General features: G+C 35.6%; 1 protein-coding gene across 13 annotated transcripts in view, besides 1 other annotated feature; it reads left to right on the forward strand.

Annotated features, from left to right (window-relative positions):
* The window catches only part of MIPOL1 (mirror-image polydactyly 1), a 354,425-nt gene that overhangs the window by 191,995 nt on the left and 134,734 nt on the right, over positions 1–27,696 (forward strand). The gene's annotated exons all lie outside the window — the stretch shown is intronic.
* Positions 7,235–8,434: an enhancer, noted in NCBI's record as "MED14-independent group 3 enhancer chr14:37866371-37867570 (GRCh37/hg19 assembly coordinates)". NCBI's record gives its function as "activates an origin of replication core promoter dependent on BRD2, BRD4, P300/CBP and CDK7 cofactors, and independent of MED14, by STARR-seq in HCT116 cells {active_cell/tissue: HCT116}" and the evidence as "EXISTENCE:reporter gene assay evidence [ECO:0000049][PMID:35650434]".

Below are 27,696 nucleotides of genomic sequence, written 5' to 3' on the forward strand. Positions count from 1 at the left end.
GGCTCACACCTGTAATCCCAATACTTTGGGAGGCCAAGATGGGTGGATCACTTGAGGTCAGGAGTTCGAGACCAGCTGCTCAACAGGGTGAAACCCTGTCTCTACTACAAAAATATATATATGTATATATACAAAAAATTAGCCAGGCATGGTGGTGGGCACCTGTAATCCCAGCTACTCCGGAGGCTGAAGCAGGAGAATCACTTGAACCTAGGAGGTGGAGGTTGCAGTGAGCCAAGTTTGCACCATTGCACTCCAGCCTGGGCAACAAGAGCAAAACTCCTTCTCAAGAAAAAAAACAAAAAACAAAAAACAACTAGAGGCTAACTGACCCCCATATTCTGCAGTTCTTAATTAAAATGATCAGCCCCACTTTATCTACCTGGCAGAGATGAAGGTTAAACCTCAAGACTAAATAATATCTGGAATGTCACTTATATATTATATACAATTGAAGACATTCCATTGAAAATTACTAGATACACAAGAAGATAAGACCACAGGCTCAAAACAAAGAGAAATACACGTTGTATAAACTGACTTAAAGTTGATCCAATATTGGCATTAGATGACAGGGACTTTACAATAGCTATAATGAAAATATTCAAAAAAGTAGGAGAAATAAGAGAAAATAAATGAAAATATTAAGCATTTCATTATAAAATTGTAATCTCTATAAAACAAATGGAAATCAAATAGAAATTCTAATCGTAATGAGCACAATATCTGAAATTAGATGAGCTTAGCAGAAAACAGGATTAGTAAACTAGATAACAAATCAACAGTACATTTTTAAATTATAGCAAAGATAAAAAGGAATTTGGGGAGAGGAGATGTAGCTGAGAGACAATGAAACTCAAAACAGTACAATATAGGTATAATTAGAGTCTCTGAAGGAGATGAGAAAGACAACGTGACAAGCAGAAGTTGACAAGATAGTAGCCAAGATTTCTCCAAAAACTGATGGAAATTTCAAACCACAAATTCTTGAAGCTCTTAAGTACACCAAGTAGGATAAATAAAAGAAAATGACACATGGACACAATACAATTAAGGTAATAAACTCAGAGATAAGGAGAAAAATTTTAAAGGCAGACTGAGGAAAAAAAGTTGTTCAAAGAACAGCATTACTGACTGCTGAATTCTCAATAGAAATAACAGAAGTCAAAAGAGATTAGAATAACATTGTTAAAGCTCCAAAAAAAAAGCCAGTGTAAAATTCTATACCTAGTTTAAATATCTTTCAAAGTGGAATGTGACATAGTGGCACATAAACGTAGTTCAGACAAACAAACTCCAAGAGAATTAGTCACATGCAGATGTGAATTGAAAAACATAGTAAAGGGGTTTCTTAAATCAAATGGAAAATGATACCAAACACAAACACAGAAATGTAAGAAGGAATTCAGAGCAGCCAGAAGGATAAATGTGTTTGGAAATATTAAAATATTGATCTAATGAAGCCTAATCTTTTTTTTTTTTTGAGATAGAGTCTCACTCTGTCACCATGCTGGAGTGCCGTGGCGTGATCTCAGCTCCCTGCAACCTCCACCTTTCAAGTTCAAGCCATTCTCCTGCCTCAGCCTCCCAAGTAGCTGGGACTACAGGTGCATGCCACCACGTCCAGCTAATTTTTTTATTTTTAGTAGAAACGGGGTTTCAGCATGTTGGCCAGACTGGTCTGTATCTCTTGACCTCATGATCCACCTGCCTCAGCCTCCCAAAGTGCTGGGATTACAGGCATGAGCCACCGTGCCCAGCCACTTATTCAAAATTAATAATAATGTCTTATGCCATTTCAAATCCATGTAGAAATTAAAGTCCATGAGAAAAATAACCCTTAAGCCTAGAACTGGGTAATGGACTCAAAATGTTCTAAGGTATAGCATTACTGGAGAAGTGATATATTTATATTAGACTGTTATAAGGCAGGAAAACAAGTTAGAATCTCTAAGATAACCATGAAAAGGACAAGAATTTGAATTTAGGAACTAATGAAGGGGGAAAGTGATATAATAGGATATACTTAAATAGTCTAAATTAAATATTAAAGTAATAAACAATCCTGAAAAAAGAATAATTTATTAAACCAAGTGGACTAAATGTTCCAATTACTCCAATTTTGTTTTTTTTCAGAATTGTTTTAGCTATTCTACTTTCCTTGCTTTTATTTGTTTTAAAATCAACCAGTCTGTATTTACAAAAAAAATCCAGTTGGGCTTTTGATAGGAGAAATGACATCTTTACCATTGAGACTTCTGATCAAGGAACAGTGTATGTGTCTCCAGTTATTTAGGTCTTCTTTGATTTATTTAATAAACATTCTGTAGTTTTGAACATATGGATTTTGCACATTTGTTGCATTTACACCTAAGTATTTAATATTTAGCACTATTACAATGGTATTAGTATTATTTTAACGTTTTGCTTTCCAGTTTTACATTAATAGTATCCTACAGCTTTGATGGACTGACTTACTAGTTTTACAGTTGTTTTTTAAAGATTCCTTGGGATTTTCAATGTAATCATGTCATCTACAAATACAGACATTTGTATTTCTTTCCATTATGTATACCTTTTATTTCCTTTTCCTTCCTTATTGCATGGGCTGTAAGTTATTTAGGTATATTAAATAATAGTGATGAGAACAGACATCATTGCCTTGTTCTCTATCTTGAGGAAAAGTATTCAGGATTTCACCTTAAGTACATTGTTAGCTGTGGTTTTTTTGTAAATATCCTTTATCCCTGTGAGAAAGTTTTAGGCACTGACTAGTTTGCTAAAAGTTTTTATTGTGAATGGATGTTGAACTCTGTAGAAGGCTTTTTCAGCATCAGTTGGGCACAAAGGTAATTTGAACTTATGAAATCAAAAATAGATATCAAGTAAGTTATAGTTTATTAAAGAAATTAAAGTCTTGTGCAACCTGGCTGCCTGTAGTGGTTAGAATTGTGTGCCCCCAAAAGATATGTTCAAATCCTAATTCCAGTATCTCTGAAGTGACTTTATTTGGAAATAGGATCTTCATAAATGTAATTGAGTTAAAATAAGATTATACTGGATTAGGGTACCACCTAATCCAATGACTGGTGTTCTTATAAGAAGAGAAAAATTTGGACACAGATACAAAAGACACAGGAAAAAAAGCCATGTAATGAGGCAGAGATTAGTGTGTCCACAAGCCAAGGAATGTGAAAGATTGATGGCAACTACCAGAACCTGGGAGAGAGGCACAGAAGATTCCCTCTCAGACCTTCCATAAGAAGGCAACTGTGCTGACACCTTGATTTTGAACTTCTGGCCTCCAGAAATGTGAGAGCATTTCTGTGGGTTTTAAGCCACCCAATTTGTGGTTCTTTGTTTCAGTAGCCCTAGGAAACTAATACAGTGCCTTTTCTGGTAACATTTTTTTGAGTTCTAAAACATTCTTATTTTCCAAAAAACTAAGGTTTTGTTTTGTTTTGTTTTGTTTTTGTGTGTGTGTGTGTGTGTGTGGCGGGGGTGGGGGTGGGGGTTTGTTTTGTTTTGTTTTTACTATATGAATACTTGTTGCAACATACATATAACATCAAACCTGGGTGGTTCATTCTTCTTTTTCTAGGCTCCTTGTAGTGTTTTTTAGTGATCATCAAGCAGGTTTAAAGAAAAGCATATAAATTACTTACCTTTATTGTGTTTCTAAATTAAAGAGGACTTTTTTTGTCCTATCCTTTGAAAATACAATTTTATGGCAGGCCAACCTTTTATTTATTTATTTACTTATTTATTTATTTTAATTTTTCCATAGGTTTTTGGGGTACAGGTGGTATTTGGTTACATGAGTAAGTTCTTTAGTGGTGATTTGTGAAATTTTGGTGCACCCATCACCTGAGCAATATACACTGCACCCTGTTTGTAGTCTTTTATCCCTTGCCCCCTCCCACCCCTCCTCCCAAGTCCCCAAAGTCCATTGTATCATTCTTATGCCTTTGTGTTCTCATAGCTTAGCTTCCACTTATCAGTGAGAACATATGATGATGTTTGGCTTTCCATTCCTGAGTTACTTCACTTAGAATAATAGTCTCCAATCTCATCCAGGTTGCTGCAAATGCCGTTAATTCATTCCTTTTTATGGCTTAGTAGTGGCATATATATATATATATATATATATATATCTCCATGTTCTATCATATATATATATCCACAGTTTGTTTATCCGCTCATTGATTGATGGGTATTTGGGTTAGTTCCACAATTTTTGCAAAAATTGAATTCACAAAATTCAAGATTTTGTGAATTTTGCTGCTATGAACATGCGTATACAAGTAAATTTTTCATATAACTTCTTTTTCTCTGCATAGATACCCAGTAGTGGGATTGCTGGATTAAATGATAACTCTACTTTTAGTTCTTTAAGGAATTTTCACGCTGTTTTCCAAAATGGCTGTACTAGTTTACCTTCCCACCAGCAGTGTAGAAGTGTTCCCTGATCACTGCATCCATACCGTCATCTACTGTTTTTTTGATTTTTGAATTATGGCTATTCTTGCAGGAGTCAGGTGGTATTGCATTGTGGTTTTGATTTGCATTTCCTTGATCATTAGTTATGCTGAGCATTTTTTTCATGTTTGTTGGCCATTTGTATATCTTCTTTTGAGAATTGTCTATTCATGTCCTTAGCCCACTTTTTGATGGGATTGTTTGTTTTTTTTCTTACTGATTTGTTTGAGCTCGTTGTAGATTCTGGATATTAGTCCTTTCTAAGATGTATAGATTGTGAAGATTTTCTCCCACTTGGTGTGTTGTCTGTTTACTCTGCTGACCGTTCCTTTTGCCATACAAAACCTCTTTAGTTTAATTAAGTCCCAACTATTTATTTTTGTTTTTATTGCATTTGCTTTTGGGTTCTTGGTCATGAAATCCTTGCCTAAGCCAGTATCTATAAGGGTTTTTCTGATGTTATCTTCCAGAATTTTTATAGTTGCAGGTCTTGGATTTAAGTCCTTAATCCATATTTAGTTGATTTTTGTATAAAGTGAGAGATAAGAATCCAGTTTCATTCTCCTACATGTGCCTAGCCAATTATCCCAGCATCATTTGTTGAAAAGGGTGTCCTTTCCCCACTTTGTTTTTGTTTGCTTTGTTGAAGATCAGTTGGCTATATTTGGGTTTATTTATGGGTTCTCTATTCTGTTCCATTGGTCTAAGTGCCTGTTTTTATACCAGTACCATGCTGTTTTGGTGATGATAGCCTTATAGTATAGTTTGAAATCAGGTAGTGCAATACTTCCAAATTTGTTCTTTTTGCTTGGCTATGCGTGCTCTTTTTTGGTTCCATGTGAATTTTAGAATTGCTTTTTCTAATTCTGTGAAGAATGATGGTGGTATTTTGATAGGGATTGCATTGAATTTGTAGATTGCTTTTGGCAGTGCGGTCATTTTCAACAATATTGATTCTACCCATCCATGAGTGTGGGATGTGTTTTCATTTGTTTGTGTCATCTATGATTTCTTTCAGCAGTGTTTTCTAGTTTTCCTTGTAGAGGTCTTTCACCTCCTTGGTTAGGTAGATTCCTAAATATTTTATTTATTTATTTATTTTGCAGCTATTGTAAAAGGGGTTGAGTCATTGATTTGATTCTCTGCTTGGTCACTGTTGGTTTATAGAAGAGCTACTGATTTGTGTACATTAATCTTGTGTCTAGAAACTTTGCTGAATTCTTTTATCAGTTCTAGGAGCTTTCTGGAGGAGCCTTTAGAGTTTTTGAGGTAAACAATCATATCGTCAGCAAACAGTGACAGTTTGACTTCCTCTTTACAGGTTTGTGTGCCCTTGATTTCTTTCTCTTGTCTGATTGCTCTGGCTAGGACTTCCAGTACTATGCTGAAGAAGAGTGGTGAGAATGGGCTATAAGAATAGCTACCCCTGCTCACTTTTGGTGTTCATTAGCATGAAATGCCTTTTTCCACCCCTTTCCTTTATGTGAGTCCTTATGTGTTAGATGAGTCTCCTGAAGGCAGCAGATAGTTGGTGAATTCTTATTCATTCTGTGGTTCTGTGTCTTTTAAGTGGAGCATTTAGGCCATTTACTTTCAATGTTAGTACTGAGATGTGAGGTACCATTGCATTCATCATGCTATTTGTTGCCTGTGTACCTTGTTTTTTTTTTGTTTTTTGTTTTTGCTTTCTAATGAGGTTCTGTTTTGATGTGTTTCCAGGATTTGTTTCAAGATTTAGAGCTCCTTTTAGCAGTTCTTGTAGTGGTGAATTCTCTCACCATTTGTTTGTCTGAAAAAGACTGTATCTTTCCTTCATACATGATGTTTAGTTTTGCTGGATACAAAATTCTTGGCTGATAATTGTTTTGTTTGAGGAGGCTTAAGATAGGGTCCCAGTCCCTTCTAGCTTGTAGGGTTTCAGCTGAGAAATCTGCTGTTAATCTGATAGGCTTTTTTTAATAGGTTACCTGGTCCTTTTGTCTCACAGCTCTTAAGGTTCTTTCTTTCATGTTAACTTTAGATAACCTGATGACAATGCGCCTAGGTGATGATTTTTTGTGATGAATTTCCCAGATGTTCCTTGTGCTTCTTGTATTTGGATGTGTAGGTCTCTAGCAATGCTGAGGAAGTTTTCCTCGATTATTCCCCCAAATATGTTTTCCAAACTTTTAGATTTCTCTTCTTTTTCAGGCACACCAGTTATTCTTAGGTTTGGTCATTTAACATAATCCCAGCCTTCCTGGAGGCTTTGTTCATATTTTCTTATTCTTTTTTCTTAGTCTTTGTTGGATTGGGTTAATTCAAAGACCTTGTCTTCAAGCTCTGAATTTCTTTCTTCTACTTGTTCTATTCTATTGCCGAGACTTTCCAGAGCATTTTGCATTTCTGTAAGTGTGTCCATTATTTCCTGAAGTTTTGATTGTTTTTTCTTTATGCTATCTATTTCCTTGAATATTTCTCCCTTCACTTCTTGTATCATGTTTTAGATTTCCTTTCATTGGGCTTCACCTTTCTCTGGTGCCTCCCTGATTAGCTTAATAACTAACCTCCTGAATTCTTTTTCAGGTAAATGAGGGATTTCTTCTTGGTTTGGATCCATTGCTGGTGAGTTAGTATGATTTTTGGGAGTTGTTTAAGAGTTTGTTTTGTCATATTACCAGAGTTGGTTTTCTGGTTCCTTCTCATTTGGGTAAGCTCTGTCAGAGGGAGAGTCTAGGGCTGAAGACTGTTGTTCAGATTCTTTTGTCCCACGGGGTGTCCCTTGATGTAGTACTCTCCCCTTTTCCTATGGATGTGGCTTCCTGTGAGCCAAGCTGCAGTGATTGTTATCTTTTTACTGGGTCTTGCCACCCAGCAAGCCTACCCGGCTCTGGGCTGGTACTGGGGTTATCTGCACAGAGTCCTGTGATGTGAACTGTCTATAGGTCTCTCAGTCCTGGATACCAGCACCTGTTCCAGTGGAGGTGGTGGGAGTGGGGAGGGGGGAATGGGTAAAATGGACTCTGTGAGGGTTTTTAGCTTTGGTGGTTTAATGTTCTATTTTTGTGCTGGTTGGCCTCCTGCCAGGAGGTGGCACTTTCCAGAGAGCATCAGCTGTGGTAATATGTAGAGGAACCAGCAGTGGTCAGAGCCCTAAAATTCCCAAGAGTACATGTATGCCCTTTGTCTTCAGCTACCAGGGTGGATAGGGAAGGCCCATCAGGTGGGGGCAGGGCTAGGTATGTCTGAGCTCAGACTCTCCTTGGGTAGGGGATCAGGGCGAGGTTCCCAGGTCAATGGAGTTGTGTACCTAGGAGCATTATGGCTGCCTCTGCTGAGTCATGCACGTTGTCAGGAAAGTGGGGAAAGCTGGCAGTCACAGGCCTCACCCAGCTCCCATGCAATCTAAAGGGCCGGTCTCACTCCCGCTGTGGCCCCTCTAACAACCCCAAGTCTGTTTCCAGGCAGTGAGCAAGCCGGGCTTAAGAACTTACCCCAGGCTACCTGCCTCTGAGTTGCGAAAGAAAAGGGCTTGGTTCTTCCCCAACCTGTGGAGTCTGCACATTGAATTCATGCCCTCCTGTGAGTTCTGGCCAGGAGGCTTCTTGCCCCATTTAAATTGATACAAAGTTCAGCTGGAGATTTCCTTCTCCCTGTGGTGTTTTCTTCTGTGCCTTTGGCCGCCCTCTCGTTGGATCCCTGTGGTGCCAGGCAGGAATGGCCTGCTTGGGGACCCAGCAGGCTCCCAGGGCCCTTCTGCTGCTTCCTCTACCCCTGTATTTTGTTCAGCTCTCTAAATTGACTCAGCTCCAGGTAATTTCGGAAACTTCTCCCACAAAGTAGACCTTCACTAGGGGCACGGTGGTGGTTGGTATTTGCGAGCGGATTATCTCCTTTTCCCACTTCCGCAGTTGGGGCACTCACAGTATTTGGGGTGTCTCCAGAGTCCTGCAGGAGCACTCTACTTCCTTCACAGGGTCTGTGGGTCCTCTTAGGATTCCTGGTTTGTTCTTGCAGTTATTCTGGAGCTAAAATTCGCAATGTGAGCCTCTGCATGCTGCTGTGTCCATCCGAGTAGGAGCTGCAATGTAGTCCTGCCTCCCATCTGCCATGATGATCTCTCTTCCCAGGCCAACCTTTTCGTATCTTCTCTGGCCATCAACAATAATAGCCATTTTAGGCACATTTCTAGGGAGACTACTTCAGTTTCTATAGAATAAAGAAAAAACATTAAACAGTTTTGCGTATTTTGGGAAACTGAAAAGTGACCAAAAACTTATAATATGAAAACCACAATATCACAGGTAAGCAAATCACACCCCTTCTAGCAGTGCTATGTACAAGGTGTGCAGGACATTGAACGAGTAAGATCTTTTCGTTTTTCTTTGATATGAAGTTTATAGACTAAATGGAAACTCCCAAAATTTACTTACATGTTATGTACCCCAGAAAAGGCAGATAAATGAGGAAAGTCTAGTCTTTATTTGGACAAGATGTCAATAGTCTTTTTTATGATTTCTTGGGTTTTATTTAAACCATAGAAATCAAGATGATAATGTGAAACCTCATTTTTGAAATAAGAATACCTAATAAGTAGGGAAATATTTGTTGCCATATTTTGACACATCACTTGATATACTATAGAAAGCAAGATTGCAATTAAGTGCTGACAGAATCAGCTCTACACTATAAGGGGCCAACGCATCTCTTATCAAAATTTTCATTTTTGTTTGTCCATAAGACAATTTAGTTGCAACCTCTGAATGAATATGTGTATTAATAACTTCACTCAGTTTCATAGACCAATCATGGAAACCATACAATAATGTGTGTTTCATGTGACCCAAGGTAACAGAGCAGCTGCTAGTATTGGTGCCATTTTGGGAGGAAAAATAAAACAATCCTCTGACTGATTAAAAATACTTGCCCTATGAGATTCCATCTTCGTATATGCTTTCACATCTCCTTCTCCAGTATGTCCAATCCCAGGTTCTTTTCTGTACAGTGTACAGTATATTCTGTTTTTGTTGTTTATCTCCCTAAGCCAGTGATGCGTTCTTCCATTTAGTGTTCATTTTTTATGATATCTGGGTCATGCTGGCATTGGAGTTATCATCATTCTCATTTTCATTATCTGAGCTCTTAGAAAGGATGGTGATAATATTCACAATGTTAAAAATTAAACTAGCACTCTTTTGATACAAAGCACAATAGTTAATCCACAGAGAAAGTCAAAGATGGGTTGTTAACTTTCATATTTACCATGCACTTAAGTTGTACACTTAAGTCACATCACTAGGAGTGATGCAACAATGGATGATCCATTATTGTCAACCATAAATTATGCTTGCTCACATTAATGGTCAGGAAAAACAGCAACTGCAGAAAGCAGATAATCTATGCCATGTCCATTAGACACTAACACCAGTATTGGTTTTAGCTCTATTTTTTGTACCACCATATGGATTTGTACATTTTCCCCCAAACCTGGTCACCTATTGCCAAAGACTGGGACTTTTTACATCCCATGGAGAAGTTTCCCAGCATGATTGATCACCCACTGGAAAACTCTAATATTGTACAGTGGGCTCTTGAAAGTGAAGCAAAGATTATTCTTGGTGAAGGAGGAATTGGACAAGCCCTGAAGATAAAATTTTGCCTGGAGAAGTGGTAATATGTATAACTTGATAATATGAGAGTCAGAGGACAGTAATCTCACACGTTTTAGTGGCATTAATTAGGGCAGGCATAGGAAGATAGGAAAGACTGACTTGGAGGCTGTTAAAGTATTTCATGAATGAAGTAAAGAAGATTGCAGGGGGCCCCTTAAATAACAGCAATAGGAAGAGATAGGAAAGAATGTGAGGCATTTTGAAATAAGTAGCAAAACTTATTGACTCGCTCACTGGATATGGGAAATGGAGGAGATGTTTGAAGATAACTTCAGGTTTTTAAGACTAATCAGAGAAATAATGTCACTAACAGACAGTGAAATTGAGTTTATTTGAGTTTTCTAAACAAGTGAGTTAAGTTTAGAAAGTGCCTTACTTAAAGCATAAGTAAGATATATGATTGGTATTTGAATATACTGGGACTGAAGCTTGTTGATAAGGATAGTACAAAGCCTAGTTGACCATTCTGTGGAACCAATATAAATTCCCTATGGAGTCAATATTATCCAAAAGGAGGACTATTTTCCACTTGTATGGAAGGAAAACAAATACAATTTTTAAACGTTTGAATGAATAATAGAGAAGAAGCAATGGAATGGAGGTTATTTTTACTCCAACTACCTAAACTCCAGGTTTTCTTAGATCTTGGGAAGAAACTACCCCTTGTCCTGTTAATGGTTGTGCCCTACAGAAAGTTGCCAATCTACCTAATGAAGAAACTGCTTACTACTCACTTCTTTGCATCAACACCATTCTAAATATGCCGGTTTTGAAATGTGCTCAGGGAACCCATACCATCTGATATGAATAGCCTTGAGGAACCATATGTAATTCAGGGAATTTGATTGGTTCATGAAGAAAGACCACATCTACCACATAGTTGGCTCCAATTAAGTCTTTTTTATTTAAAGGAGAAGAAAATGTTAAAAGCAAAAATAAGACTTCTTATAGAGAACCAAAGATATTTTGAAGGAGTGATAAAAATGACCATTGGTTAAAAAATATAATAGGTGATTTTAATATCAGTGATCAGGGACAAAAATATAAATAATGATTTGGAACAGCAAAGGGAGAAACACTAAGAAAAACACAAGGAAATGGAGTGAAATGATCAGAAGCAAAACATAATTTGTGGAAAATGGAGTAAGTGCAGGAGCAAAAGGAGTAAATGTAAGAGAAACCCTATTCAAAGAAATAATAGAAGAAAACTCATTTGAGCTGAAGGAAAACTTGAGTTATCAAAATGAAAGTCCATAGCAATGACTGAGTAGAATAAGTAAATTACATCTTTGCTCGTGTAAATTTATATACATATGCTAAATATATAGACATATCTAGGCAAAATATCTGTACACTAATGGTGAAGAGAAAATGTTATACCTTTATAACATTTGTTATAAAATTGTATAGAGCTGATTATTTACAAAAGAAAGAGCATCACAGCAGCATAGAATTCCTGACTTGCAATATTGGAAAACAAGACAGTGCAACTATGTTTATAAATCTTAGAGGAAAAGACTGCAATTTAAGGATCCTATATTTAGCCAAAATATCATTTATAGAGGAGGGCAAAACAAAGACTTTTTTAAAACAATTAAGACTATGAATATACCCATTCATTCTTCCTGGAGGAATTACTTGAAGAAGTATTATAGCTAAAGGAAAATTAAAACAGATATCCAAAGAGGATAAAACATTGTATAAGAATCAGTGGAAGGTAGTCTATCTGAAAATTTATAGATAAATTTAAAGCAGTGATAACTTTAATTGTGATGTGTGCTAAGGAAGAGTTCTCAAAATATGTTACATACAATAAGAAATAAAAAATATGGCATGGAACTACAGTTTTAAATTATTCCAAATACACTATAGGAGTAGGAGTATGGATAGAAGAGGTTTAAAAATCTTATTTTTGCTTTAAAATTTTTTCCTTTGTTGATAGGGCATATCACTTATGAGATGGTGCAAAACTGGAATTAGTGTCTTGAATATGACATTCAGTAAAGCAAAGATGATTATTTCCGTTAAGAGAATGAATTTTCTTATTCATAGGGATATGCATGCTGGGTAAAGCTAAATATCTTTCTGTGATATGATTATATATCACATGATTTATTAAAATGTACTTTCAGAACAGTTATTGAAGACATCTTCCTGATTTTAAGGTATACATTTATATTTATTATTGAAAACATTTAATGAAAGCTTACGTACTACAGTCCGAAAACACAGGAAGGAAAAGGAAAAAATTTGCCACCTTTTGGGGAGATAAACGTACCCCAAAATGCATATAAAATTAGATCAGTACTATAATAGATGTATGCAGAAGCTGAAATGAAATAGGAAAAAGATGTGAAAGACTTAGCTGTGAGGATGTTTATGAGTCTGCCAATGAGCAAAATAGGAAAGGCATGCTGAACAGTGGGCATCTGTGTTATGGATGAGAAAATGCAGGTGTTTATCCCAGGTAATTAAGCCATCCAGTGAAATTCTTAAATTGAAATGCATTGAAATTGGTGTGAAAATGAGATATCTTACGTGCAGCCTATTGAAAGCAGTTCTGAATGCTTGAGTCTTGTTCCAGTATTTTTAAATTTTAGAGGAATTGTGGCCTAAGTATTTTTAAATTTCAAAAAGGCAGCATTTAGAAGAATTGTGTGTAGCAATCAGATGTTCATTATATATTGCCATTAGTTTTTTCCAAAGGAAGGAAGACATAGATTTCCTGGCTTATTTTTAAACAGCAATGAGCTTAGGAACTGTGACTTTGAAACAGGTTTCACTTCTCCCTTCCCTGTTTAGGTCACCTAGGATCTAATGAGGAGAGGGCAGCCCTCTTGCTTCAGTAGTAGCCATGGCTGCTCTGCATGGTTATATAAGATGGGTAGGCTTGTTAGGCGGTAGCCACAACCTGTTCGTTTCCACAGAGGAGAGAGAAGCACGATTAGCTGTTACATTGCTTGTGTACTTTTCCAATATTCCTGCCTAGTGCGAAGGGAAAGGAGGGCTTCCCAATATCAGGGTGGAAGATATTTACTCTCACTGCTACCATGCTGAAAGTTAGATCTTTTTTTAAAATTGAGAAATCACAGAATAATTATATGGCCTAATAGAGATTTTCAAACATAAATTCTAATGTTTTGTTCCTCTGTTTACACATTTTGTTAGCTTCTATATATCAGAGGATTCCCTGTAAATTACAGAATCTTAAATATTACAAATTCTCATGGGAGGTTGGTTTTATAGAGATGGATAATTTTTTTTTGGTTTTGGTAATGTGCTTATCTCTTTTGTTTTATAATTATGTAAATGTTGAAATTTCTACTGTAGGAGCCATAATTACATAGAATGTGATAAGAGAGGTTTCTAGCTTTTTTTTTTTTTTTTTTTTTCAAGTAGAGATGGAGTCTCGCTGTCTTGCAGAGTCTGGTTTTGAACTCCTGGCTGCAAGCAATCCTCTCACCTTGGCCTCCTAAAGTGCTGGGAGTACAGGCATGAGCCAGTGTGCTTGGCCTCTGGCTAATATTTTTTATATCAGACACCCATAATACTTTAGTGGCAACCTATGTAGTATTGCTTTAGAAAGTTTGGTTCTGTTCATCGTTTTTTATTACAACCTTTCTTGGTGAAATGATTTATTTACATGTTATTTACAGTTTCTGTCCCTGTTAATTGTCCTGATGTCTAACTGAGGTGTTAAAAACTGATAAGCAGTAGGCTTTTCTATTTAATGCTGGAAGAACAAGCTGCTTGTGATGACCCAACAGGGACATGAGGAAGGTTTGTGAAAGGGGTGCATTCATCCAGCTCTAATCCTTGTTTTCAGAAAGGCAGTGTCTTTAAGTGTTCTCTAATTAGTGAATAGATATGGTTGTAAATTCTTGTAGACACCTCTTTTGTAGGACAGAGATGGTTTTCCTGGCTTGTCTAAATCTTTGTTTTGCATTTCTTGTTAGTAAAAATTTAAGATGAATATTTAAAATAGGAAATATAAAAGTAATTTAAAAACATGTAATTAATGGTATTTTATCAGTATGGTCCAACATGGTATTTCTTTTTTAACATCCTCATAATTAGAAACTTGAATATTATATTTCAGAAAGTGGTGTCTACAAACTAAAATGTTTTTATTTTTTGTTTGCTTGCTTGTTTTGCTGATTTCTTTGTATACATGAAATGTTTACTGCAATGAAATAAATTCTTTTTTGGGTTTAGTAAAATTGCTTCTACCAGTCACCTAGGAAATATAAGCTAGGGAACAAGACACTGGTATTTAGTCATACCAAGAGGAAATATATTGCTTCAGTGAACTGAATATAAAACATGATCAGTGAAAACACCTGGAAATCAGAAAGAACAGATTTTAGTTATGCTTCTCTTTTTCAAAGAACTTAAGTGCTTAGCTATTATTGTTAGTGCTGGAGAAGTAAGTTGGCAGTGACATTTGAAATATGATAAATAAAAGCCTGCAGAATGTCTGCTTCTACTTGTAGCACTTGTCTGATTCCTTCTCCAGAAATTGCATAATGGAAACTACCATAGATTTAATGCCACTCTAATATATCACCGTTACTTGTTTTAATAAATGCATTCTCTATTGCTTTGTAATGATAAAGCTATAGTTACTGAAACTGTCAAAGTTACAGAAAGAGAAGGATAGGAGCTTTTTGTCTTTATCACCTGTATTAATAATTGGAGATAATTACTGCAGAGCAGCTGGCTGTTGGTTTTAGGGAGCATCAATTGTTCTTCTTACCCAGCTGTTGACTAATAAGGATAGTCAACACATCTGTTTCAACAGCTGGTAATTAACAAAAGCCTAATTGCTGCAACTCTTTTAACATCCAATCTGTGAAAAAGAAGGGATGTAGAAGAATATTATTTACTTTGTGCTTTGCACTTTCTGAAACCAGTTTCTCTTTTTTCTCTCTCCTCACTTTTTTTTTCTTACTTTGAACACCACTGCCTTTGTATGAAGCATTGAATGGCAGGAGAACACAATATGGTAATCCAGAGCTTAACTTTTTTAGATCTTTGTTGGTGTTTCTTATTGCAACATTTCTTTGCTAACTTGCAAGATAAAATGGATCAAAAGCATTTTGAGTAGTTCTATACAACAGTTAAAATCCGCAGCAGTGTGCCCTAGGCTGTGCTGCTGTTGTCTGAAGCATCCAAAAGGAAACAGGGGATTCTTTTTTCTTATGCTTTTCACATGCTTAGACACTACTCCCAAATAATTTCCACATTCATATACAGAATTTTTGTTTAAATTACTGCATATGTGATTAACATAAATGAAGTCAGGTTCATCAAAGCCTCTTCCTTTGGTTAAAAACCATTTTAATTGTCATCTCTTAAAAACTTCAGTTTACTCGTTTTAATGTCTATATGCCAACTAAAAGTGTTTAAGAAAACTTAGTGTATTTGTGAAATCTTGCTTGGTTTATTTTACGTTAAAATGTGGTTTGGTCTTTTTAAAAAGTTGCTTTTAAATTAGATAACTTTGATAATTTCTTGTTTATTTTTATAATAAATGAATAAGATATTTGCTGGCTTGGACATGGACACCTGAATAAAACTGTTCATAAATGAGAGACTTATAAATTAATATTTCTTTTATTTGAATACTTTTAGTACTTTCATTTAATTGTGAACTGTTTCAGTAAAAAAAAAGTCTTTCATATAGCCTTGATTATAAATCTTAATGTGTTTCTGCAGTTATAATTCTTTGCTAGATATGAATTAATGTGTACATGCCAAAAATTTTGCTAATTTTTCTCCAATTTAAAAAGTTTCCTTGTAAAACAATATTGATTAAAATATTTTCCTTTTTTAAGAGTTTTTTTTTTTTCAGTTTTCATGGCTGTTTTTTCAAGTCATTTTCATATTCTTTTATACTTTCTTTATAGCCTATGCACCTAAAAAACTTTTTGATGAATGAAAAATGTGTTTGTATTAATTAAAGATAACATAATCATACTGATTTTCCTTTTAATACATTCATAAAATTTTAGAATAATTTTATGGTTAATTTGATAGACAATTATTATGGTGCTTATTTGAGTATCCAGCAAGTCCTTAGCTAAAATGATAGACAAGTTCACTTGATTAAACCTGCTTCACTAACTTTTCATTTGGCAATATTTCTATGCAGGCAGTTCTTTAATTGATGTTGAAATGGTATAGAAGAAATTCTACCCAGGTGCTTGTCATGGACTGAATTGCAGATTGCATAATTTCAAAATTTTTTGCTGGCAAGACAAGTTTGGTTCAGCATGTGTTCAGGTGATGAAGTGTACTGTAGATGTAGTGAAAAAACATACACGATCCTGAACAAATAAACAAAATACTGCTTGCTAAAATTCTAACTAAATAAAAGGGCACTGGCATGTAGAGAAATGTTTACGACTCAAGTGTAAAGGAGGGAAATAGTGTCATTTTGAGAAATGTTTGCTTCTTGAGTTTAAATAAGAATTTAATTTTCTCTGTGTGCTCATGTTCTTAGGTAGTACCAGAGAGCTTAGTGAAAGGAATGTATCATGCCATGAAAAAGGAGAGTGGACTTTTTTGAGGAACCCACATTCCATCTGATGCTTTAAGTATTTTCTTGTGCGTAATTTGTTTTTATTTCCTGAGAAAATGACCTCAAGAACAGTTGGCTTGGTAGATGAAAATTCAATAATTTAATAGATATTTTCTGAAGACCATTAAATACTATGTGATTAGTCTCTGTTCTAGACATTAAAAGTGGTAAATCTCATTAAATGATGAATAGACTACTAGTGAAACCAGTGAAATAGTCAGTGGTTTTTACATATAGGTAAGAGTGGCTTTCAGAGTTGGAGTCAAGAAGTCTCAGTATTTAAGTAAAGTAACGGGCATCTAACTAGCAACAGATTTACGATTTTAGTATCTTTTGAATTAGGGTTCTTTCAACTTAAAAGTTACAAAGAAAAGATAAAGTCTCTACAGTCTAAATTAATGCACTAAGAAATGGTTCAAGACAAATATTTTAAATTGCAAAAGGCTTAAGTAAATTATATCAGACACTAAAAATAAAAATATAGAGTTGTTAAAATAAATGATAGTAAATGGACAAGAGCTAAAAATTGGACTAAACAGTGTCACCTCTGGAGTTAATGACAATAGTATATAGTGGCACATTTGAGGTCAGAGAAGTTGGGAGAGTAGTTAATGCATAGATAGACTCACTACTAATCCAAAGTCTAATTCTGGTTCTGCCACTGACCTTTCTATATAACTTTAAACACTGAGTGTTTAAATAGATCATTTCCTAGTGAATGGTTTTCCTACACCATGGATTTGTTTCCCTAAAGGATTCACATTGTCAAAGGCAGTTGGGAGGAATATTTCAATTTCTATTTTTGAACATTTTATCAATTATATAATTAGTCATATTTACCTTTTAAAGAGTGACACTATGATAACCTCTAACTATGTGTAAGTTAGAATATGTGGCCGTTATTGGATATCAGAGACTTATAACACACACCACTCAACTGAACCACACCAGCTGCTTTAGTGATTAAACTGCTTTAAATAGTTCTTATTTAAATAATTATTATGTAGTGTTTAATGTAGTACATGAGAGACCATTGTTTAGACAGGAAGGATATTGTCACACAGGTAATACTGAGCTTAAAAGTGATAATATTGGAAATTTACCTTGTACTATTCTTAATCATTTAATCAAAATTCTTATCTAACCAATCTTTATATCTCCCAGTATGCTTTATTTTTTCTTTTCTTTCTTCTTCTTCTTCTTTTTTTTTTTTTTTTTTTTTGGAGACAAGGTCTCACTCTGTCACTCAGGCTGGAGTACAGTGGTGTAATCATGGCTCACTGCAACCTGGAACTCCAGGACTCAAGCAGTACTCCTGCCTCAGCCTCCTGTGGAACTGAAACTACAGGTGTGCACCACCACGCCTGGCTAATTTTTTATTTATTTATTTATTTTATTTTTTATTTTTTGTGGAGACAGGCTCTTACTATGTTGCCTGGGCTGGTCTAAACTCCTGGCCTCAAATGGTCCTCCTGCCTCAGTCTCCCAAAGTGTTGGGAACACTGGCGTGAGCCACCACACTCAACTCTCCTAGTATTTCTAAAAAACAATGTTAAGAGAAAACAATATTATTAGAGTGATTATATCCAAAATTTTATTTTACTTTTCATATATTTTTATTTTAGCCTAGAAAACCCCACATTAAATACTTGAAAATGTCAATCTGAAACTTTGCTTGTTGTGTACTTTTTATTTAAAAACAAGGTCAGGTGCAGTGGCTCACACCTGTAGTCTCAGTACTTTGGGAGGTCAAGGCAGGCAGGTCACTTGAGCCCAGTAGTTCGAGACCAGCCTGGCCAACATGGTGAAACCCCATCTCAACAAAAATTACAAAAATTAGTTGGGTGTGGTGGCATGTACCTATAGTCCCGGCTACCCAGGAGGCTGAGGTTGCAGGATCGTTGAGCCCCAGTGGTCGAGGCTGCAGTGAGTTGAGATTGCACCACTACACTGCAGCCTGGGTGTCAGAGGGAGACCCTGTCTCAAAACAAAACAAAAAAAGTCAGGAAAATTATTTAAATAAATACATAAACCAAGCTAATCTACCAAATGTGAGAATTATAAACAGTTTCATCTATTTTTGATGGTTGTGATATGTGTTAACTTTCAACATAGACTTCTGCTTCCTACCGTGTGGCAGGCAGATACTGCAGGGACCCTCCTGTTGCTAAACTGCTAGGTCCTGGATGAAACAGTTTCATCCATGCCAGCATTGCTGGTTTCACAAAAAGTAGATGAAATGTGTAAAGATTTTACTTCACCAAAAAATGAGAGTTGAACCAGAGGCAACCCCCTTCCCCATGATAAGCACACAGAAGGGCCACAGCTGCGCTAAGAAAACACATCTATAGGAATATTTTGTATCTTCATTTTGGTCCCAATCCTTGATAAGCAGCAAGGCTAGGGAGCTGAACCAGAAACTCCTGCATTATTTCAGGCCTCTCTTGGCTCCCTCATGGAACAGACACAAGTACTCCTTGGAGGAAGGCACCCCCAGTTTAGTCCAGCAGGATTCCCAAGATTATTATCAGGAAAATATGATTTCAAAGTTAAAGATCAATCAAGCACATCAGGAAGAAAACCATCATGAGTGACAGCAGACACAACACAACAAAAACAAACAATAAAGTCATCTAAAGAATATAAGTAGCTATGTATGAAATGCTTAAATGATATTTAAATAAATAGAGTATGAACCACAACCCTGAGTTATCCACAGGTGCTTTCTAGGAAACATTAGGCAAATCTGGAAAAAAAAAAGTTGCAAGTTCTTACAAAAAAAGACAAAAAAATTATTTAGAACTAAAACACTCTGTGAGACATTGACCATCAGATTATACACAGCCAAAAAAATAATTTGTGGCTGGGCGCAGTGGCTCACACCTGTAATCCCAGCACTTTGGGAGGCCACCGCTGGTGAATCACGAGGTCAAGAGATCAAGACCATTCTGGCCAACATGGTGAAACCCCGTCTCTTATAAAAATACAAAAATTAGCTGGGTGTGGTGGCACACGCCTGTAGTCCCAGCTACTTGGGAGGCTGATGCAGGAGAATGTCTTGAACCTGGGAGGCAGAGGTTGCAGTGAGCCGAGATCGCATTACTGCACTCCAGCCTGGCGACAGAGCAAGACTCTGTCTCAAAATAATAATTATTATAATTCATACATTAGAAGACATATAAGTTGGAATATATCTAAAAAATTACCCATAGTTCAACACAGATGGATGAATCAAATATTAAGAGATTTACAGTGAGATGGTTCAACAAGCATTTAATTGGGCTCCGAAAAGGAGAGAATACAGGCGATCCAGGAAAAGCATCATTAGAACTGAAAATGACTGAGATTTTTCTAAAACTAATGGAAGATATCTATCCACAGCAAGATAAGAAATCTAAACCCAATCACACCATAATCAAATTGAGGAATTCTAACATGAAGGAATTCTAAACATCTAGCATTCTAACATAAAATTATAAAAGTAGCCAGCCAAAGGAAAAATACAGATTCCTTTCAAATGAGCAACAATTAGACTTGAAGATGACCTCTACATAGAACTGTGGAATTCAGGAGACATTAGAATAATGCTTTAAATATACAAAAGAAAATAACTGATGACGAGTTAATGGGTGCAGCATACCAGCATGGCACATGTATAGATATGTAACAAACCTGCACGTCGTGCACATGTACCCTAAAACTTAAAGTATAATAATAATAAAATTTAAAAAAAGAAAATAACTGCCTGTTTAAAATTACATACCCAACATGAATAACCCTCAAGAATGAATATGAAATAAAGACATTTTCAGACAACTAAAAACTGAATTTTTACAATTTCAGAATTGTATTAAAGAAACTTCCAGGAGCTGTTGTTTAGACACAGGTACATGGTTCTATAAGGAACCTCCCAACCAGGAAGGAATCGGAACACAAAAGAAAAGTGACTAATATAAATGAATATTCGGTCAACAAAATAGTAATATTTTGGGTGGTTTAAAACTATGTAAAAAGAATTAAAATACATTTTAAAAATAGCAAATAAATTAGGAGGCAAGTAAATAGAGTTAAAGGATTTTAAGGTCCTCTTATTGTCCAAGAGTATTAATATTAAATTTTTGATAAGCCAAGCTATATCTTGTAATTTCTGAGGTAACCGTTAAAAGAATAGAAAATGAATGTATGGCATTCAGAAGTAAATAGGGGGAAATGGGATGATAATAAATGAATCAATTCAAAAGTTAGCATATTTTTTTATTTTAAAAATATAACATAGAACTAGCGAGGAAAGTAGAAAGCATACAACAAGATGATAGATTTAAAGACAAATTTATTGGAAATTTCTTTAAATGTCAAAGGATCAAATGTTCCATTTAAAAACAAAGATTGTTTAACTGGAGAAAATATGCTGTTTACAGGAGTCACATCTAAACCTAGGCATATAAAATAGATTGAAATTTAAAAAATATAAAAAGCATATCAGACAAACACTATTCAAAAGAATGCTGTTATAGCTATATTAACATCAAATACAATTTGAAGCTATGAGGTCTTAACATTTTGTTTATTTTGCATTATATTTAATAGCTGAAGTCATGTCTCCCTGACAGAATGGTTTCCTGTTGCAATGCAGTGATGTTACACAACACATGATTTCTTTCACACAACCACTATGAATTTCTTTTTTCCTCATTCTACCATTATTTACTCTAAAGAACCTGTTCTAGAAAAGCGTGTATTTTAGATATTTTCTTTCATTGTCCCTAGAAATATGTTCATTCTAGACAGGACAAGCGTATTGAAAATGTGCTCAGTTTTTCCATTCCTCATGTTCTCAGGTATCTGGCAACTAACCAAAAGCTTATAAAGATCATCAGAGATTCTGGGTAGTATGTAAACCTGTGGCCACTCTAGTTCTCTATGGTTGGTAAACTATGGCCTCTGGACCAGCTGCCTGTTTTTGTAAATAAAATTTTATTGGAACACAGCCACATCTGTTCATTTACATATTGTCTATGGCTACTTTCTTGTTACAATAGCAGTTGTTTCTTGTCCTAGAGACTGCGTGGCCCACAAGCCTAAAATATTTATTTTATGGTCCTTAATAATTTATTTTATGGTCCTAGTCTAGACTACCACATGGCTTGAACTTATAGTTTAAGCTAAGTCCTTTCTCACCTTATTCGCCTATCACTTAGTAGAGTGCTGTTCCTTACAGACATCAGTTACTTCATAATAATATCACATCAAAGGTTCAATTGTGCCTCTTATATAGCTTACATATTCACTTTGATATGGCTATATGAGATAGTAAGTTATCTCTTTTTATCATTGCATAATAATCCTGTGAGATGGATATTATCACTTTCATGCTACCAATGAGAAAATTTAGGTTCAGAAGCCTTAACTTGTTCAGTCATAGAGCTGATTCCTGGTAGCCTAACCCAAGCTTGCTTAACTCCAAAGACCTTGCTCTTAACCACCTCATGGTATTACCTCGTATCATCTCAAATGAAACAATGTATGTGGAAGCTCTTTGGAAATGTGAAATACTAATCTGTTTTAATTGTGACATAATATGTAATACTATACTTCAACAATATCTACCAATATCTGGTATGTGCTGAGCATTGTATTCATGTTTTGGGACTACTATATAGTCCCTACCTTGACACGTATGTATGTAAATAACTGTGGTGTAAGGTAGGTTGAGATAGTTGTCATAAAAAAAAGGCTTTAAAAATCACTAAGGCAAAAACAACCCAAAGGTTTATCATTGGAATGGAATAGATAAATAAATTGTGGTATATTTATGTTCATTATATACTGTACAGCAATTATAATTGTATACAATAAGGAACAAGAAACAACATGGGTGAATCTCACAAGATTAATGTTGAGCAAAAAAACAGAAAAGAATATATATTATATTATTGTATTGATATAAGTTTCAATAACAGGCACAACTGATCTATGACAGTAGAAGTCAAGATGATGGTTACCTTTAGTGAAGGTGAAGATTAGGTAGAAGCATGAGGATATGTGAGGGTGATGGAAATAATTCTATTTATTTATCTAGTTTCCTGTTAAACAGGTGTGTTCACTTCATGAAAATTCATTGAGCCCTGAACTTTTCTGTTTGTATATTATACTTCAATGAAACATTCATGTAAAATAAAATAAAATTTAAAAAATATTACTAAGGATTTAGCAGGTGAAAAATTTTCTGGAGTGGGGAAGATAATCAAGAAAGGACTTTATGTAAGAAGTAATAATTAAAATGGGGCTTGAAGGATTGATGTAGATTTGATAGCATGGCATAGATTTGGTGTTCTAGGTGGAGGGAATATTACAATTAGGCAGAATTTATGGCAGGTCCTTGGCTAAAGTGAGTGTGAAGGAATAAAAGAGAGTTCAATGCCACATTGTGGAAGGCCTTAAATGCCAGCATGAATGGTTTATACTAACTTCAATATTATCAAATACTTAATACACATCTTTATTTGTACCATGTATAAAAGCGTGCATATGTGTGTAGTTACAACTCTCAAGGAGCTCATAGTTTAAAAAGGAATATAAATATTAATGTATTATTTTAATAGTATTAAATAATCATTTAAATATAAATGTTAATGTAAATATTGAAACAAATAGCAATAGCAGAAAAAGAACTCCATAAAGAAAGTGAGAAGATATGCCTAAACTTGTCTCAAGTTTTCCAGCTTCTAGAAGCTATCCATGTTCCTTGGCTTGTGGCCCCCTTTCATCTTCAAGGTGAGCAATGGCCAGTTTAATCTTTCCTACACTCCCATCTCTCTGGTTCTTATTCTTTGCCTCCCTCTTCCACTTAAAAGGATACTTGTGACTACATTGGGTTTACCCAGATAATCCAGGGTAATCTTCATCTCAGGGTCACCTGATTAGCAACTTTAATTCCACCTGCAACCTTAATTCTCCTCTTTTCATATAACCTAACATATTCACAGGTTCTGGGGAATAGGATGTGGGCCACTTTGGGAGACATTATTCTGCCTGTTATGCCCAGGATAAGATCTCCTCCCAGATTACATGTGGGCATGAGACCACAGGTAGAATCAAGTAGCAACATCTGGTTGGAGTGAGGGATTGGGAAACAAGGCAGTTCCTAAGACACCTTAGTTTAAAAGGCTTTTTTACTAGGCTGTTTTATCCCATAAACGTAGTGCCTCAAGGCTACGGGCTTTTCAAAGGCCTGCAACAATGCGGGGGAGTCAAATATAAGTTAAAAACTAACCAAACACAGTATTTCTGCAACAAAATGTAAATATTTACAATTAGTGAGATAAAGGAAGACCATAAATAGCTTTACATCAGTTTACCTAGGTTTAACATCAATTGATTTCAGTACCAAAAATTTTTTTAAAGTTCTTTTTTGTTTTCAGAAGTGTTGGAGTTTTTGTATTGTGAATAAAGGATTATTAACCTATATAATTTTAATGACTTTATTAAAAATCAAATCTAACATAATATAATCTTTAATAATACCCATAATACTTGAGAAAAGATAAGTTGACTTCTCCCAGTTTAGTGAATGACATATTTTCATAATAGGCCATCCATTATCAATAGTCCAAACATTTCCTAAAGGCATGAAACTAATTTATACACCCACCCAAAATGTAAGAGATTTCTAGTCATTTTACATCTTAGCCAGTATATCCTACTATTATTAGTCATTGTAATTTTACCTCTTCAATTGTGGGTGAAGTGACAGCATATTGGAATTTAAATCTTATGTCCCTGAAAACTAGTGATGTTGAGCATGTGTATCATGTTTGTCAGCCATGTAGATATCTTCCCTTGTGAAATATCTCTTCATGTCTTTTCTCTCATTACTTCAAATATTCCATCTTACTGCCCCTGGCCTCCATGGTTTCTTATAAGAAATTCACTGTTAATCTTATTGAGAATCCCTTTTAAATAATCATTTACCTTTTACTGCTTCAAGGTTTCTTCTTTGTTTTTGCTGATATAGAAGCACAATTACATGTTTATGCCTCTATATCTTACTATTTGGTGTTTTGAAAAAGCCAAAGTGATACAATACTTTGGAGGGTATAAATTTAGGCAGAAACCGAATCCAAGTAAACAGGCACAGGTCTGGATTCAAGATTAAGCCAAGTACTAGGAAACAAGCACAGGAATGGAACTCAGGCTAGTTGACTGAGAATAGTGTCTTAAAAACACACTTGTAAAACAAGCAGAATGAACACTTGCTGAATCATTGCTAGATCCAGCAGAGATTTTTTTTCCCTTTACCTTACCTGCATATGTGTAAATGGATAAATGCTTGGAAACTTGTGCCACCCCTGCCCCCAAAACAGAGTAGTCTTCTTTGGGAGTTAGTTATTGCAGTAGAGAGAAATCCTTATCATTATTATTCCTTAAAAATAAATTATATACTATTACTAATATTTCTGAGAAGCTGTAATACTACTTTTTTGCCAGGGGTCTGTAAAGTTGAGGGAAACACCATAGATGACCTTTTGTCACTAAATGGACTAACATCCAAAAACTATATATGTGCCTCCAGGAAAGGTTTGGATGGCATCTTAAAATAAACTATATGAGTTATGTTTAAAAAAATAATTCTTGTACCAATTTATTTAAATCAAATTAGATAATATAATTCACTGATAAAAATTAGCACAGATTTTGGCCGGGCATGGTGGCTCACGCCTATAATCCCAGCACTTTGGGAGGCCGAGGCAGGCGGATCACGAGGTCAGGAGATCGAGACCATCCTGGCTAACACGGTGAAACCCCTGTCTCTACTAAAAAAAAAAATACAAAAAATTAGCCAGGCGTGGTGGCGGGCGCCTGTAGTCCCAGCTACTCGGGAGGCTGAGGCCGGAGAATGGCGTGAACCTGGGAGGCGGAGCTTGCAGTGAGCCGAGATTGCGTCACTGCACTCCAGCCTGGGCGACAGAGCGAGACTCTGTCTCAAAAAAAAAAAAAAAAATTAGCACAGATTTTTTAAAGCACCAAATTTTGTCTAGTATTTATAGCATAGTAGTTAAAAGGAGAGACTTGGGCCATAATTCCTGAGTTCAAACCCTTGCTCCACCATTCATTAACTGGCTGACAAGTAAGTGATGTAACATTTTCCTCATCTACATAATAGAATAGTAATAGTAGCTACTATACAATATCTTGTGAGAAATGATAATATGAATATAGAATGCACTTAGAATAGTGTCTGGCATGTCTTCCTATTTTGCTGTGTCTATGTATAACTGTAGTACCATATTGTTAGGACTTGAAAGAAGACCAGGATTTGCCCCCTTATTAAGAGAGAATCTAAGTAGTTGATAATCTCTCTTTTATTTTCCTCTCTTCTAAAACAATAGAAATAGCATTTATTCATTCATTCATACTTGAAAGTATTCAAGCTCCTACTATCTGAAATTAGATAATATAGTATAAGTCTTATACGTCACACATCACTATACATATTTAAAGTATTATAAATTCTGGTATTGGTTGTTAATGATAAAGAGAATTCAACTTAAACTATACTTAACAAAAAATATTAAAATCAAGTCTTTAAAATGTATTCTCTTTTTACAGGTGATCATTGAAATCCTATGACATACAGTAAAAGGAGATTCTTGAGGAATATGACATTTTGTATACAGTCATGTATCACTTACAGTGGGGATACATTTTGAGAAATGTATCCTTAGGTGATTTCATCATTGTATGGGCATAATAGAGTGTATTTACACAAACCTAGGTAGTATAGCCTACTACACACCTAGGTTATATGGTGTAGCCTATTGCTCCTAGGCTACAAACCTGTACAACATGTTCAGCTGTGACACAGCAGCAAGTATTTATGTATCTAAACATGTCTACACATAGAAAAAGTACAGTAAAAATATAGGTGTTGTATTCTTATGGAACTATAGTCTTATATGTGGTCCGTTGTTGACCAAAGCGTTGTTATTCTGTGTGTGACTGTACTAATTTTGTTGGGAAGGAAAATTACATGATCTATGACAAAGAAAAAGAAAACTCTCCTAGTTACCTTGGTCAACAAGACTTTCTGCTGAAGATAGAATCATGAGGAAGACCGTAAACAGCAAGACCTCTCAGGGACTTGGACATCTTTCATTATGTGGAAAGGTTTTCAGGGTACCAGCTAGATCCACACTAGATTTTATTTTCTTTACTTGTTTTGCAGCACATCTTCTGCTTCTTCATCTGCTGAGCGATCCAGCTAGTTTTTGTTTTCCTACTGTTTATTTAATAATCACTTATTAAAGCATTTACTATGTCCCAGGCACTGTTACGTTTTACAGATTTTAACTTAGTTCTTCCTAACATCAGCCCTCTAAGATATAAAGTACAGTTACCCCATTTTGTAGGTGAGGAAGTTGAGGCACATAAAGATTTGCTAACTTGCCAAGATAGGGGAGTTTGTAAGTGGTGAAGGCAGGGTGGGACCCCAGCCTTTCTGGTTCCATAGACTATGCTTTTAATCACCATTGCTGCACTGTCTTTCTGGCATACATCTCTCTCCCCTGCCTTTCTCTCCTCCATGGCTTCTGCTCACTGCCCATGAATCAGTTTCTGCCTGTGAATGTTTTGAGTTCTGCTTCCACCACAAACTCTTTTCTTCTCTCTCTCATCATGTCAGACTATCTCATATATCACTCGACAGTGTATATATGACTACTTTTGACTGAGGAACCTCATTATCTCTGGTCTGATAAACAGAGAGACATGACATCAGGACAAAATAGAACAACCTCTAAGGAATCAGCTGTAGGGAACAATATACTATGGAAATACACAATGGTAAGCAATCCAAGCCTTCCTGTGAAGTGGAGGTTTAATTGAAACCTGGTCATTTTTATCCTTTTGAAAATAGCTTTTAACTTTTTGGGTATCGTTACACAAGTTACTTAGTTATGTTTCTTTTTACTAGGTTCTTAACCT

The sequence above is a fragment of the Homo sapiens genome, chromosome 14 (genome assembly GCF_000001405.40).
Source record: "Homo sapiens chromosome 14, GRCh38.p14 Primary Assembly".
Classification (NCBI taxonomy): Eukaryota; Metazoa; Chordata; class Mammalia; order Primates; family Hominidae; genus Homo; species Homo sapiens.